Source organism: Homo sapiens, chromosome 6, assembly GCF_000001405.40.
Source record: "Homo sapiens chromosome 6, GRCh38.p14 Primary Assembly".
NCBI lineage: Eukaryota > Metazoa > Chordata > Mammalia > Primates > Hominidae > Homo > Homo sapiens.
Genome location: NC_000006.12, coordinates 151,826,019 through 151,842,129, shown reverse-complemented (window position 1 = coordinate 151,842,129; position 16,111 = coordinate 151,826,019). Strand labels below are relative to the sequence as shown.

The 16,111-nt window shown below is 40.5% G+C and overlaps 1 protein-coding gene across 31 annotated transcripts in view, besides 1 other annotated feature; it reads right to left on the bottom strand.

Moving 5' to 3' along the window:
* ESR1 (estrogen receptor 1) overlaps positions 1 to 16,111 on the bottom strand; it is a 472,948-nt gene that overhangs the window by 287,490 nt on the left and 169,347 nt on the right. The window lies entirely within an intron of this gene.
* Positions 8,487 to 8,987: an enhancer, noted in NCBI's record as "NANOG-H3K4me1 hESC enhancer chr6:152154278-152154778 (GRCh37/hg19 assembly coordinates)". NCBI's record gives its function as "activates a minimal SCP1, AML or CMV promoter by ChIP-STARR-seq in primed H9 embryonic stem cells {active_cell/tissue: H9 hESC(primed)}" and the evidence as "EXISTENCE:reporter gene assay evidence [ECO:0000049][PMID:30033119]".

Sequence of the window (16,111 nt, the reverse complement as noted above, 5' to 3'; positions counted from 1 at the left end):
ATTTTTACGTCATTGCCACATAACCCTGGATATCAGTTTTTATAACTTGAATAATGTAATTTGAAAATACTGTTCTTCAATATTCAAAACTCCTCTTTAGGAACATGTAGAGACTGAGCATGGTGGTTCATGCCTGGAATCCCAGCACTTTGGGAGGCCAAAGCAGGAGAATTGTTTAAGCCCTGTAGTTTGAGCCCAGCCTGCACAATATAGCAAGACTCCATCTCTATAAAAATGCTTCTTAAAAAAATTAGCTGAGAATGGTGATGTGTGACTGTAGTCCTAGCTACTTGTAAGGCTGAGGTGGGAGAATCACTTGAGCCTAGGATGTCGAGGCTGCAGTAGGCTATGATTGATCATGACAACTCCAGACTGCGTGAAAATCAGAGGAACACAGAAAAAAAAAATGTAGAAAGAGAGACAATCAGAGGAACACAGAAAGGAAACTGAAAATGAACAGTAAGAAAATTCTAGGAAAACCAAGAAAATAAGGAAGTAAAATGCTTTAAGAAAGTAGAAAGCTAAAAAAAAATGTAGGAAGAGAAGAGGAACACAGAAAGGAAGCTGAAAATGAACAGTAAGGAGATTCTAGGAAAACCAAGAAAATAAGGAAGTAAAATGCTTTAAGTAGAAAGGTTTATGGAGAGGATGATCAAGAATGGCAAATGGGGCAGAGAAGTCCAACAAAGCAAAGACTGGTTAAGTGAATTCAGACCTGACAAAGCAGACTCTTAGCAAGGAGTTTCCTTAGACAGGTACAGGCACAAGCCAAAATTCAGCAGATGGAATGTAAGGAGATGAAAATGAGGGAAGGCATTCCTTTGAGAACTTGGAGGAGAATAGGAAAAGATACAGATAGGGTGGCAGCTGAAGAATATAAGACCCAAGAAAATGAATTTTTTAGAATGAAGAGACTTGAGAAGGCCTCGTGTAGACTGAAGGGCATGGGCCAGGAGAAAGGGAATGTTTGAAAGCACAAAGAGGAAGATAAAAGAATAAAGCCAAGAAGGAAACTAGAGGAGTTGGGATTAAAAACACAGGTAAAAGAAATTGCCTCAATGAAGACAACTTGAAGAAGACTGGAAGGAAGGAGGTAAGGAAAGTAGAGGAAGATGAGTTTGCATCTCTCGCCAGACCAGACATAGGAGTAGATGTTATATTGGCCCAGGACTTGGCAGGCATGTGCAATCAAATAAAGGTGGAATAAGAGCCCAGCACAGTACCTGGCATGTAGTTGGCACTCCATAATATATTTAAATGAATGGAGAGAGTGTTCAAAGTTGTATAAGAAAGAAAGGTAGGCAGACATTGAAAGTATAGATGGAGTGAAGGTTCCTGTGAACATTTTTTAAAAAATGAAAATCCTAAGATGAGCTAAAGTCAATTGATGATAGCCCTTCCAGCAGGGTCTCTTGGCAAAGGAAGCTCAAGCTTCCTGCTTCCAGTCCCCACCCAAATACCCGAACCACACTGACTTTCACTGGCGCTCCCCTTCACAAGCCCTGTCTTTCCTTTTAGCCCAAATTGTATAACCTCTCCCTGCCTTCTCAGTCATTATTATGGTTCACAATTTTGTGGTAGTGGTTCTCAAACTACATTTGCCATAATATTCACAAAATATTGGCTCCTTGGGTTGAGTACGTCTGACTTTGCCAATTTCGTCCATTCTAAATAACTTAGTTCTGAGGTTGGCAGCCTCAAATAGGAATTCTTTATTTTTTAATGTTCATTAGAGAGCACTGGCTCACAGTTTTCAATTCTAGTTCATATTCTGTTACCCATCTCTTTCCATTTCACCACCATGCTGTTGAACCCACCCCCATCAACCTCAAATCTTTTTATTGCTTGTTTACTAATATCCTATGCATGATTCAAGTCAGTAGGAAGCAGCTATGAATATCTAACTGTAGAAGCTTAGTGCCTTTGGAGGTGGGAGTAGATATTTAGCAAGCATGAAATTGATAGATTCAATGTCTTATAAGCCTTATTAATTGTTATATCTAGCTCAGTGCCCAGCACATAGCAAGCATTCAATACATGTTTGTTGAATGAATGAAGGAATAAGTGAGTGAACAGTATACGCATGGCCAGAAGTTCCAATGTGTCAAGTATCTTCCCACCCACGCCTACATAATAAAATGCTATATTTTTTAAATTGTGGTAAGATATATATAACACAAAATTTACCATCGTAACCACGCTTAAGTGTTCATCAATTCAATCATGTTAGATATACTCACATCATCGTGCAACCAGTCTTCAGAACATTTTCATTTCACAAAACTGAAACTCCATACCCATTCAACAATAATTCCCCATTTTCTCCTTCCCCTATCCCCTAGCAGCCACCAATCTACTTTTGTTCTCTGTGAATGTGGCAATTCTAGATACCTCATTAAGTGAAACCCTACTTTTGCTTTTTGTGTCTAGCATATTTCACTTAGGATAATGTCCTGAAGGTCCATGATGTGACTAATATGCCATTGTCTGTATATACTACACAGACTTTGTTTACCCATTCATCCATCTATAGACATCTGGATTGCTTCTACTTTTTGGCTATTATGAATAATGTTGCTATAACTATGAGTATACAAATATTTCTTCAAGACCCAGATTTTTAATTCTTTTAGATATATACCCAGAAGTAGAATTACTGGATCATATGATAATTCTATTTTGATTTTTTGAGGAATCACCAGTGTTTTCCACAGTGGCTGCACCATTTTACATTCTCATGAACAAGGCACAAGGTTTCTATTTGCTCTATATCCTCTCCAACACTTACTCTCTTCTTTTTCTAATATAGTAGCCATCCTAATGAGTGCGAGGGGAATACTGCATTTTTATGTCTTTTGCCTGAATGCCTCCCTTACCAGCCACTCCTAATCCCCATAAACTTGAATCAACATCCCTGTTCTGAACTCTCTAGAAGATTTTTTTATTTCTCTTCTGCTACTTACTATATTAATCTTCAATTGATTAATTCTCATTTCCATTACTATCTGCAAAGTTCTTGGTGTCTTATTCATCTTTAAAATGCCATGTGCTTAGAGCATAGTGCCTCACTTGGAATAGGGACTCAACAACATTGATATCAAATGACTGAATCAATAAATGTATAGTTTCCACAATATAGATAGAATATGTAAATACTATTTTTATAAATATTGACAAAAGATTTAATAGCGAGAGCCCATTTTCCTCAGAAATAGCAAAGATGTATGCTGTCAGCAAAATGCCATTCATCTACATTTTATCTCTAAGATGACCCCCAGCTTACTGAAAATCAACTGCAGACTTTGGGCATAGAAATAGAAGGCATCTAAAGAAGACGGGGAAACTACATGGGCTATATTCACTAACCATAAAGGAACTTTTTTAGCCAACTTAGAAATCCATGTAAATAACATTGTCAATTATCATTTTGGCCCAGACTTACTCCATAAAGACTGTCAAAATGTTATTTAAAAAAAAACAAAGAATATAAACTAAAAGGCAAGAGCGGTCTTCCTCTGGGCTCCAAGACCCTGTGGCACGTTGAAATAATGTTCACGTTGAGTATCCATCAGATCAAGATAACATAACTTCCTCTAGACAGAGAGCTGTGTCCTCAGAATACAGACTAACACAGCCCATCCATGGGCAGCAGGAAGGAACAGACTGGGAGGTGTCCATGTCTGGGCCATAAGGGTGGGTCAGGCACCAATCTGGGCTTCTCTGAGTACCTATGGCTAGATCAGTCCCAGCAGATGGGCCTAGGTACAGGTCCCCACCTCCTCTCTTCCTGCTGCTCTCTACCTGGCCTTGGCCCACTGCACCTGTCATAGACCTGGCATTTTTAGCTTCACAGCTCTTTAGTAGAAAGTGCCTATACCATGTCTAAGTCCATCCTTCTTCTGCTCCTTCGGCCTCAAAGGCCCTTTGTTTTTCTGTACCATCACAGTACCAAAATGAATGTCTCTTGCTGGGCACATTGGCTCATGCCTGCAGTCCCAGCTACTCAGGAGGCTGGGACAGAAGGACCGCTTGAGCCCAGGCATTCAAGGCTGCAGTGAGCTATGATTGCACCACTGCATTCCAGCCTGGGAGACAGAGTGAGAGCCTGTCTATAAAAAATATATAAAATAAATTTTAAAAATTTATTTAAAAGACTCTTATTTTCCTTCTTTAAAAGATTCAAAATATTTCAGGGTTTGCTTTCCTAAGGGGAGACTTCACAAACCCTAACCGAGCCCTATCCCTTTATTATAAGTGAAGGTTTACCTACTTCTTTAGCAAAATTACTAAGATACCTCCTTCCTTGTAAAATTCTTCTTTTTCTCACTGAGTTGTCACCAAACCTGTACCGTTTCTCATCTTGGACACTTTCTCTTAAGACTCAGATAGAAAGTTGACTGGTTTACCAAGCTACACATTAAGACATTAGATGTCCTTCAACCTAACAGATGCCTGTAGAGATTCTCTGGAAAGAAATAGAGCTGAAGATCGAATGAGAAATGAACGCATCTATGACAATGCATTACAACCACGAAGCACCAAGTGTAGCTAAGGAATGAAGAATAGCAGAAAAAAGGATGTCCAGAAGCATGAGAGATCATATAAAAAAGACACAATACCACTGCATCTATGGAAATAGGAAGCTTAACTGCCTTGATCTAGTTCGACTACTAAATATTTTCAAATGAAATCACCGATATTACATATTCAACATAATTAAGAGGGATGTCTGGGCTGGGTGTGGTGGCTCATGCCTGTAATCCCAGCACTTTAGGAGACCAAGGTGGGTGAATCATGAGGTCAGGAGTTCAAGACCAGCCTGGCCGAGATGGTGAAACCCCATCTCTGGTAAAAATACAAAAATAAGCCAGGTGTGGTGGCAGGTGCCTGTAATCCCAGCTACTCGGGAGGCTGAGGCAGAGAATTGCTTGAACACAGGAGGCAGAGGTTGCAGTGAGCCTAGATCGTGCCAGTGCACTCCAGCCTGGGTGAAAAAAAAAAAAAAAAAGAGGGATGTCTGAAGGTATTCATATTGGGTCCAGAGAATAGAATCTCTTGGACCAAGTAAAAACAGAGCATAATAAAAACTATGGGCCAATAAAATTTTCATTAATCAAAGGAAAAGTTTAAAGCTCAATGTAATCAAATACTGTTGTTTTTCCAACCATAAATAACGATACCAGCTATCCAAAAGCATTATTCCCCTGATTAGCCAAGCAGTTTTAAAAATTTAAGAAGCCTTGGTTTTTAAAGGAAATATTTCTGTAAAGCTAAATTTAAAGAACCAACAAATAGATGTCCACTTCCTAGAAATGTGGTTTAATTCAGTTCTAGTGCAATAACTTCATAAGGCTCCCTCATCAAATCAAGTCCCCAAAGCTATGTACACTCAAAATTCCCTATACTTGTTTTTCATGGCACTTACCACAATTTCCAATCCTATATTTGGGTGATTATTGACAAGTGTATGTTCCCCTAGTAAACAGTAAACTCCAAGAAGGCAAGAATCATGTCTCATTTGCTCCCAATTTTAACCATATACAGTAGGTCCTTGATATGGTTTGGCTGTATCCCCACCTAAATCTTATCTTGAATTGTAGCTTCCATAATTCCATGTGTCCTGGGGGAACTCAGTGGGAGGTAATTAAATCATGGTGGCAGGCTTTTGTCTGTGCTGTTCTCATGATAGTGAATATTTCTCATGAAATCTGATGGTTTTATAAATGGCAGTTCCCTTGCACACACTCTATTGCCATGTAAGACGTGACTTTGTTCCTCCTTTGCTTTATGCCATGATTGTGAGGCCTCCCCAACCACGTGGCACTGTGAGTCCATTAAATCTCTTTTTCTTTATAATTTACCCAGTCTTGGTATGTCTTTATTAGCAGCATGATAACAGATTAATACAGTCCTTAATAAATATTTGCTAAATATATCTCCTACATCTAACTCATTACCAAATTTCATCAATTATTTCTTCAAAACACTCTGCCTATCTTTCTTTGAATTCCTTGTTTTTCCATTTGTGTCTGAGAGATCAACAATACTCCACATTTGAATTACTAGAATTACTCTCCTGCCTCCAATCATTCCTCAAACTCATCCTGCAAGCCACTGCCCAAAGAACTGTCATAAAGTACAACGTTCTCCTTTGAATACCTTGTCGTTTCATGTATCTGTGACCACTGCCTTTTCTTTGGATCATAAACCTGTTTGAGAATGTAAAAAACACTGAAACTATCTTTTCCAGAAAATACACATAAAAATCTCAAACTTCTGCCTATATTCTGGGAGTGATAAACCGGGAAACTCAAGTTAAAAAAAAAAAATCATCATTATATAGACTTAAGTCCAAATTCTTGAATTCCTTGCACCAACTAGCATTGGTCTCTTTGTAGCTTCCTAAGCAAAATGCTGTCAAATTCACCTCTGAGAAATTGCTCACACTACACTCGCCCACATATTCATTGTTTCCTGTCACCTACACACATTTCATCTCTCCTGGAAAATCAAGCTCTAGTTCCAGACAATTTATACGACTTATCTTAAGTATTACAGTTCACAGGGGTTCAACTTTGCATTCTTAGATACGTAACACCTTCCCCACATCTCATGACATCTAGTTAGACACTAGCTTCTATGTCTGGCAACCACTCCACTTCCGTTCCCTTTGCAGTATTTTCTTTCTCCAGCAGGCTCCTAAACACCAGTGTTCCTCAGGGCTCTGCCCTCAGCCCTCTGCCATTCTCAGATGATATTTGCTCTTTGTGGAATCTCTGCCACATCCAACTGCTGTCCCACACCCCTCCCCTGGACTTCAGACCTATGTGCTAAATACCCACTCTGCACCTCCACATGAACAAACCAAAGAAACCTCAAAAACTCAATGCATGCAAAATTAAAATAAGTATCTTTCCCAGAAAGCCCTCTCCTACTCCTGCACTCCCATTTTGCCCCTATGATCTAGTAGAAGCATTCCAGCATGTTGTTCTCTGTGCCTAGAGCACCCTTCCTCTTCTCTGAAAAACACCTGTTTATCCTCCCATTCTCAGCTTAAACTGCATTTCCTCCAGGGAGCTTTGCTGGCTCCTGGGGTTAAGTTACAGATCCCGAACTCTCCCTATTATAGTAGAGATCTTTTCACTCCCCTAACTCCAAGCCCTCAGCAGCTTCTCACCACAACAAGAGTAAAGCTCAAGTCCTTCCGTGACCTGGAAGGCCCAGCATGACCCCCTGCACCCTCACCCTTGCCTGCCCACACTCCTTCCCTTGCTCCCCAAGTTCCAGGTGCTGCCACAGCTCTTCCACAAACACATCCAGGACCTCCCTGTCTCAGCGCCTTCTCCCTGCCTGGCTTTCTCACACCATTCTAAACGAGCCTATTACTTTCCATCCTCTTACACTGGTTTGTTTTCTTTTCTTTTTTTTTTAATTATACTTTAAGTTCTGGGATACATGTGCAGAATGTGCAAGTTTGTTACATAGGTATACACGTGCCATGGTGGTTTGCTGCACCCATCAGCCCGTCATCTACATTTGGTATTTCTCCTAATGCTATCACTCCCTTAGCCCCCAACCCCCTGATAGACCCCAGGTGTGTAATGTTCCCGTCCCTGTGTCCATGTGTTCTCATTGTTCAATTTCCACTTACCAGTGAGAACATGCAGTGTGTGGTTTTCTGTTCCTGTGTTAGTTTGCTGAGAATGATGGTTTCCAGCTTCACCCATGTCCCTGCAAAGGACATTACTTCATCCTTTTTTATGTCTGCATAGTATTCCATGGTGTATATGTGCCACATTTTCTTTATCCAGTCTATCATTGATGGGCATTTGGGTTGGTTCCAAGTCTTTGCTATTGTGAACAATGCTGCAATAAACATACGTGTGCATGTGTCTTTCTAGTAGAATGATTTATAATCCTTTAGGTATATAGCCAGTAATGGGATTGCTGGGCCAAATGGTATTTCTGGTTCTAGATCCTTGAGGGATCATCACACTGTCTTCCACAATGGCTGAACTAATTTACACTCCCACCAACAGTGTAAAAGTGTTCCTATTTCTCCACATCCTCTCCAGCATCTGTTGTTTCCTGACTTTTTAATGATCACCATTCTAACTGGCGTGAGATGGTATATCATTGTGGTTTTGATTTGCATTTCTCTAATGGCCAGTGATGATGAGATTTTTTTCATATGTTTGTTGGCTGCATAAATGGTTTGTTTTCTCTATGGCACTCACCCCTCCCCAACATCAAGCCAAGCCAGATTTTAATGTGTTTACTTATTGTCTGTCTTCCCCAGTGAAATGTACGCTTCATTTCCTCCAGCACCTTGAAGACAGCTTGGCATAGAAATAATTGTTGAATCAACATGTGCATAAATAAATGACTGATGCAATGGGCAAACCCTTTGCAGTGCTCTTCCCTGCCTTACCTGTATACCATAACCTCCACTGTGGCAGGGACTGTGGTGACCTCACTTGCCATGGCCTCCCAGCTTATTCTTAGTGTCTGATACACAGTTGGATGATTAATAAATATTTGCCATCTCAGTGAGTGTATGGACATGGTGAGTCCTCTGCCAATCCTCCCAAATCCATGCCTGCCACACCTCCACATTGCAAACCTGTCCTCCCACACTGCAGCAAGAGCCAGGCAGGGTTCTACCATGCAAAATGGACCTTCATGTCTCCTCCACGGCTACCCTAAGGCTTCAGAATCTTCTTTAGATGGTGGGCCCCAGAAAAATAGCTTTAGCTTTAGTTACAGACTCACAGATTTTACTTATAATCTTAGGGCATTCACAGGTCTCTTGAAGTCCATGAATGTCCCACCCAAAAGACTTCAGAGTAAGACCCACTGGCCTACAGGATAAACACAGTCTCCTTAGCCTCAGCGCATTGTAACCTGGCCACAGTCTGCCTCTCCAGCCCTACCCTTCCCTGTGATGGTTAATTTTATGTGTCACCCTGCCCTGACCAAGTTAGTACACCTCTAGCCTTCACTCACACTCCTTTCTATGTTGGTCAAAAGGCAAAAACCTCCTGAGTGACAATTACCCCTTCTCAGGTAGCAGCCAAAAAGAGTTAATTGTTTCTCATCAGAATCTGCATGTGGCCCCAGAGCATCATGTATAGAACTATTCTGGAGTCCTTATCATCATCATATAACTACGTGTCCACTGTGCATCTCCAGAAAAGAGATCCTATTATAGTCATCTTTGCTTCTCAGTTTCCACCACGATACTAACAATAGCAGCCATTCAACAGATGGTTGTGGAATGACTAAAATTCTGTGTTCCTTATTGCATGCCTTGCCTTCCCAACTAAGCTTTTCAAGAGTATGGATACAGTATTATAAGTATTTATATAACACCCACACACAGAGACACATAAAGCACCTGGAATCGCACTTTTCAGACAGAAAATACCCAATAAATACTTACCGAATAAATTAATCAATAGAGAATTAAGAACAATTTTGCCAGAAGCATAGCTGAGTCTGTTGCTCTGACAGAAGAATGTATTCAGGTAATGAGAAGCCAGTTATCAATGCTTGTATGTGTGGCAACATCCCAGTCCATCTAAATGTGGTTACCTGTGTACCTCTCTCTGCTTTAAATATCACTATGGATGGACAGAAGTTGGAGGCAGTTTGTGTCTGTGACCATAACATACCTCCTGGGTATTTCTAATTGCTATGCAATTTTGTATGTATTTATTTTGTATCTATTTATTTTCCACAAAAGTAAATGTATGTTCTTAAAAAGAATTGACAAGAAGGACTCTACCTAAAATGATAGAGTCTGGAGAGGAAAATCCTGATCCTCCTTTTTAGGAAAGCTCAAGGTAAATGACTCCTGGGCCAGGTTTGGGCAAACCCTAACCATGTGGTAGCTATGTTCTGGGGTAGGCAAGTTAAAAATTGTTTCCTGCATGACAAAATAGGTCCTCCCAACTTTTTACAAATTACTCTAGCTCTTTTATACTGTTTATCTGAAAACTTAATACATCTATCTCATATTATCTATTTAGTGATACAATATTTATTTAATTTTATTTGTAATCATGGTGTCTTTTAGTTAATAAACCAAGGCAGGTAATTCTCATCCCTAAAAAGTACAGAAGAAAATTTCTTCCACAAAAATGACTGGAGATAGATACAGTTCAAAGAAGCTCCACGAAATCATCTAGGGAGAACGTTATGGCTGCTATTTCAGCTTCTGCACAAAGATTAGACCGCAACTTAGACTTCTGGAAAACCCAGCACGACCCTTGGTTTAATAAAGTGAAAGGGGCTGGCCAAGCAGGTGAGCAGATTTTCACACTAAATTGATGGTTGTGGCAGGCACTATTTTAAGCGTTTTACATGGATTAATTCATTTAACCCTTGAAAGTACTCTAAGCAGTACTACTACAACACCAGTTGTTTTAGAAATAGTAACCAAGGTAGCCAAGGCACAGAGGAATTAGGCCACTCACCAAAGTTGTACAATCAGAAAACAGGGAGTCAAGGACCCAGGCAGTCTGACCCCAGAGCCTGGGCTCCTGGAAGAGAGCAGGATCCTTGGGAGCCCACCCAAAGGGCTCACAACCCAAGAGCAAATTATTTCACATCTGGAAACAAAGTCATTACCTCAGATCTCATCCTTAAACCCAGAAATACTAAATCCCATTAGAAATCACCTGCAATTAGCTGGGCATGGTAGCTCACACCTGTAATCTCACTGCTCTGGAAGGCTGCGGTGGGAGGAATGCTTCAGCCCAAGAGTTAGAGACCAGCCTGGGCAACATAGCAAGACCCCAACTCTACAAAAAATTTAAACATTAGCCAGGTCTGGTGTGCACCTATAATTCTAGCTACTCAGGAGGTTGAGGTGGGAAGATTGCTTGAGCCCAGGAGGTCAAGGCTGCAGTGAGCTGTGACTGTGCCACTGCACTCCAGCATGGGTGACAGAGAGAGAACCTGTCTCAAAAAAAAAAAAAAGAAAAGAAAAGAAATTGTCTACAATTATTTATTGTAAGGACAGCAATACTTCTTTGAGGGGAAATGCTAATTTAATTTATAATGCAAACGTTAAGAACTCTGTTGAGTTCCATGAAAACAGAGTTAATGGAGCTGAGAGTCATATAAGAGAATGACTTGATGAAAGTTTGAATGTTTCCTAAAAATATGATTACAGATAATACCTAGTTTAACTCACAAATAGAAAATGATGCATCATTAATGCTCATATATACAAGTTCTGAAATTCTTTATGCACAAAGAACATTAGCATTCACCATTCAAAATTTAAGGCTCTCGGTAAAATGTCAAGAGGCTTTCCCACTCACTTAAGAAAAATGTCTTCACCCCAAAATACAAGCAAGTGTTGATTTTTCACACTAATGGGAAACAAGAATAGACTGGAAAAAGTTCCCTAAAAACCCATTTAGTCTGTATCTTTTTATCTTTTGTCAGTTACTAATGTGTAACCAGATGACCCAAGCTGAGTTTCACCACCTCTCCTTTCTTTATTCTTACCAATCCATTCCAAGTGCTAATGAATGGTGAGGTCTGGGAACCCAAAGATACAAGAAAGAAGGCATATGGATGATAGAAAAAAGGTAAGTCGAGAGAGAGAGAGAGCTGCAATTTGACACCACATCTTCTTTTTTAAAAAGCCTGACTTCCAGTCTAATTTCCTCAGAAAGCATAGCACCGTATTGGGAGACAATAACTTGATTTACCTGCAGAATTACTACGAAATTCATTCATTTATTCAACAGCATTGAGTGAGCATCTAGCTGAGACCAGCCAGGGAAAGTACCGAGAAAAAGGACAGATACAAATGGAGGAGAAGAGAAGGGGGAAGCCTAAGAGAAAGGAGCCCAGAAGGAAGAGAAAGCATCCAGCCTCTGCCTTGGAAAGCTGACACCTCAAGGCAGAAGACTTTGGCCCTTGGGAAATACACTACAAGAGTCCTAGACCCACTGACTAACACAAAAGTACAGAACTCCAAATATGAAAACCCACCTGCTTACACATTGGCCCCTGGCCTGCTTTTGAATGTGATCCATAAGTCATTTCATTTATGATCCTATTCAAAAGATAGGACCAATATGTCATCACATAAAATTCCACACACACACATGTCCAGAATTGCAAATGGAAATTTTTACTACAAAAATTATTTGGGAATCTGTGTGTCATTAGGGATCACATTGCTGTCAATGTGACAAATTTCAGGAAAAAGTAAGAGGAGCAGAGTATTGTGATGAAAAGATCTAGACTGACTCATACTCTTAAGTTCTGAACAGAAAGCTGCCAATAACAATTACATGCCTTAAACAAGTCACCGAACCCCTCTGCACCTCAGTTTCTTCATCTGTAAAATGAGAAATTACAACTATGTTTGCTACATTCCCCATCTGGCGCTACAATGGTGTGACCATGATTTTATCCCTTGCCTCCGACCAACAATAACATCTGTAGCCAGCTAGAATTTCTTCACTGCATCCAAGAGGGCAAAGCCCATTTTTCAAACCCTTTCCTTAGAGAAATAAAATGGATAAAAGATGAATTGGGAAGGGGTGGTAGCCCTGCATTTAAGTCTTCTTAGCACTCCCATGACCGTGTAATGATGACAAATGGCCGTTTCATCAGAGGAAGCTGTCAGTGATAGCCATTGCGTTTCTAATGCTAAAATGATTTTCCCACAAAAAAAATCACTTTTCTAAAATGAGGCATCAGAAAACAGACAGAGAAAGGAAACTAAAGGAAAGGAAGGAAAAGAGAGACAGAGAAAAGGGGAGAAACACTTCTGTATATCTGACATATTCTTTGTTCAACGAACACTATCAGTAATGATGGAGGTGGGAACTTGAATAGAAGATAAAAGAGCTGAGATATCAAAGACAAAGTAAACATAATTCATCTATTATGACATTGCCTAGGTTAGCACACATGGCTGGAAAGAGTCCAACAGCATATGAGTGATTCTGGAATAAAAGAGAAGTTGGGCATCATGTAAAATTAAGAGAGGTTCTTTTTCCACAGAACAACTTCAACAGTGGCAAGGCCGAATTCTTAAACATAATCACACACCAGAAATTGTGACATCTCTGAGCAGATGCTAAGGGACCTCTTTGATGCGAAAGTTAAAACTAAATCTTCTGGGTTACTCTTCCTTGACTTTCCTATCCACCCTACAGTAAGTGAGGTCAAAGAGCACCCTATCCTTTTGCTGCTCATGTAACAAAGGAAAACAGTCTTGCTTACTTTTAAGAAGACATAGCAGAGCCTTCTGCAGTGCAGTTTGCAGACAATGTCATCTGGAGACTCTGGGAACATAGGCTGGGAAATGTATAGAGTTGCAGTTATATGGATGTCATGGTGACAGAGGATTGGGTTGATGTGTGTGATATGCCCTACCAAGGCAGCAATTCTATGACTTGTTTAGAGTTTTGGAGTCTGGACATGCTATTACGACCTCTTTGACTTAGAGTAACACCTACATATTGCTCTCTGGAACACTTTAACCTCTCCCTCCAGATTCATCTCCTTCTGTTCCTTCACTCCCCTTCCATGTACTTTGCAGCCCAGCAACAAATTACATGACATTCCCAAATCTGCCATGCCTGTGCTTATCCTTATGCCTTGGCTCATGTTTTTTTCCTGCCAAGAATAACCTTTTCTAGCCCTTTCAAGTCTAGAGAAATCTTCATCATATTGACTCAGCTTCACTCTGCTACCTCTCTTCTTTGTACCACTATCTTCTCAGCCCTCATCACACTGCACTGAAAGCTACAGTTACACAGGTTTTATACTTGTTAGACTATGCTGTTATGCCTATGAGCAGCATGTAATAAATAGGAGGCAGCCAATGCATCATTTGAATTTTCTTAAGTTCAATTCGATTCAAATGAATTGTGTAGAACTCATTCCGTGATATCCCCCAAAATAATTAAAGATACCTTGAGAGGTCAGTAAATCAGTCCTGACATGTGCCTAGTTACCTGCACAAAGTTCCCATAGGCAACAAAAGACAATAGAGCAAAATAAATTTTAATTTTGGATAAGTCACTTCCAGTTTACTAGGATTTTCTAAACCAGTATCTAAGGGACTTGGGACCAAGTTACATAATATGTAAATAATTCTGCGTCATTTTCCTCATTTGAAAATAAGAATAATAGCATTTTCTCTAGCTGGAGAGATGATGACATTGTATAACATTTATGAAAAGAAGTTAAAACTCATGAAGCCAGATGCTTGATGTTAATCTTTAAAACCTGCTTTGAAGTGCATACATATAGTCTTTCGGTAAATGGACTATGCTGCAAAGGTTTTTAATTACCATGCAATACTTGACTCCTCTCTCATGTCACATCCAACCCCTCAGGAAATTTCATCAGCTCGACCTTCAAAGTGCGAATCAATACAAACTCTTGATATTTAAAGACATAGTGTTTTAACTTTTAAAATATAATGGTATTATAGTTGGACTTTTAAAAATAGTCATCATCCTTTGGAAGTGTAGACGGAAATATTTACAAATGAAACATCATAGTTGAAGCTGGGCGATGTGTACATGAAGGATCGTTATGCTCTTCCACTTCTGTAAAGATTTGAAAACGTTCACAATAAAATGTCAGATCAGGTCATTCCTCTCTTTCAAACCTTTAATTGGATTTTCGACTCACTCAGAGTAAAAGCCAGAGTCCTGAGGACTCTGTCCCCCACGTTCCTCTCCTTACTCACCTCCAACTTCTTTTTTTTTCTTTTTTCTTTTTCTTTTTTTTTTTTTTTGAGACAGGGTCTCGCTCTGTCACCCTGACATGATCTCAGCTCACTGCAACCTCCACCTCCTGGACTCAAGTGATCCTCCCATCTCAGCCTCCCAAGTAATTTGATCCTCCCATCTCAGCCTCCCAAGCAATTGGGACTACAGATGCATGCTACCACATCTGGCTAATTTTCTTTGTATTTTTTTGTAGAGATGGGGTCTCACCATGTTGCCCAGGCTGGTCTCAAGCTCCTGGGCTCAGGTGACCCATCTGCCTCAGCCACCCAAAGTGCTGGGATTACAGGTGTGAGTCACCATGCCCGGCACCTCCAACTTCTTACTCCGTGCCAGCCATGCTGGCCTCTGTACCTCAAGACACCAGGGATGTTCCCACATCAGGGCCTCTTCCCTGCTGTGCCCTCAGCCTAAATTGCTTTTCACCAGGATATCTCATGGTACTATTCCCTCCCTTATTCAAGACTTTGCTTAAATGTCACCTGTGTAATGGAATCTTTCCCAATTTGTCAATTTGTCCCATTAGACAAATAGATCAATAGTTCACTGATCTATTCCCAGTGCTGATAACAATACCTGGCATAGAGTAGATGGTCAATGAATATGTGTTGAATGAATAAATGAGCAACGTGGGTCAGCCACCCCATGAAGTTAGCTGGAGGTTTTACAACATCAACAGAGTGAGGTAAGAGCACGGGAGACAAGCCACCATGGTCACTGTAAACCAGGCTGCCAAACTGATTTCAATTACTGCTTACAAGGAGGAAGAACAAGGATCCCATGTGGTGCCTAGGAAGTCAACAAAGTTAATAAAGCAGAGTTTTCTAGAGCCTGAGGATCAAGTATCCAGTAGGAAAGCTGCCCTTTTACTTTTCAGAAACATCTATCCCAGGCCTCGCAGCACAGGCTGACACATTCTAGCCTCTGCATTGGAAGAGCTTCCTCTCATTTCTAGACACTATCCTCTCATGGTTTTGTCTAGACAGCGGAATCAGAAGCAACCTAAAATCTCTGAATATAAGGCTCAAATTCCCAGGCTGTAACTCATTCGCTCTTATGTTCCTATAAGATTTGGCCTTGCAAAGAAGAAAATCAACTATATATCTTTATTGCCCTTATAGGTGGTATTTATAACTTTTTGTATTGAGCTCAGAAATCCACTTCCTGATGCTCCTGCTGTAGTCTAAGCATGCTATGCGAAGCAAGGTGTGAGCATGCCATGAAGCCAAAGCCAAACCACACAACCAACTTTCAATTCCTTCCCCGCCACCCCCCTCCCCGCATCCCAGGGCTTTCTGCTCAACCTGGCTCATGTCCAACTGGGGCAAAATCAC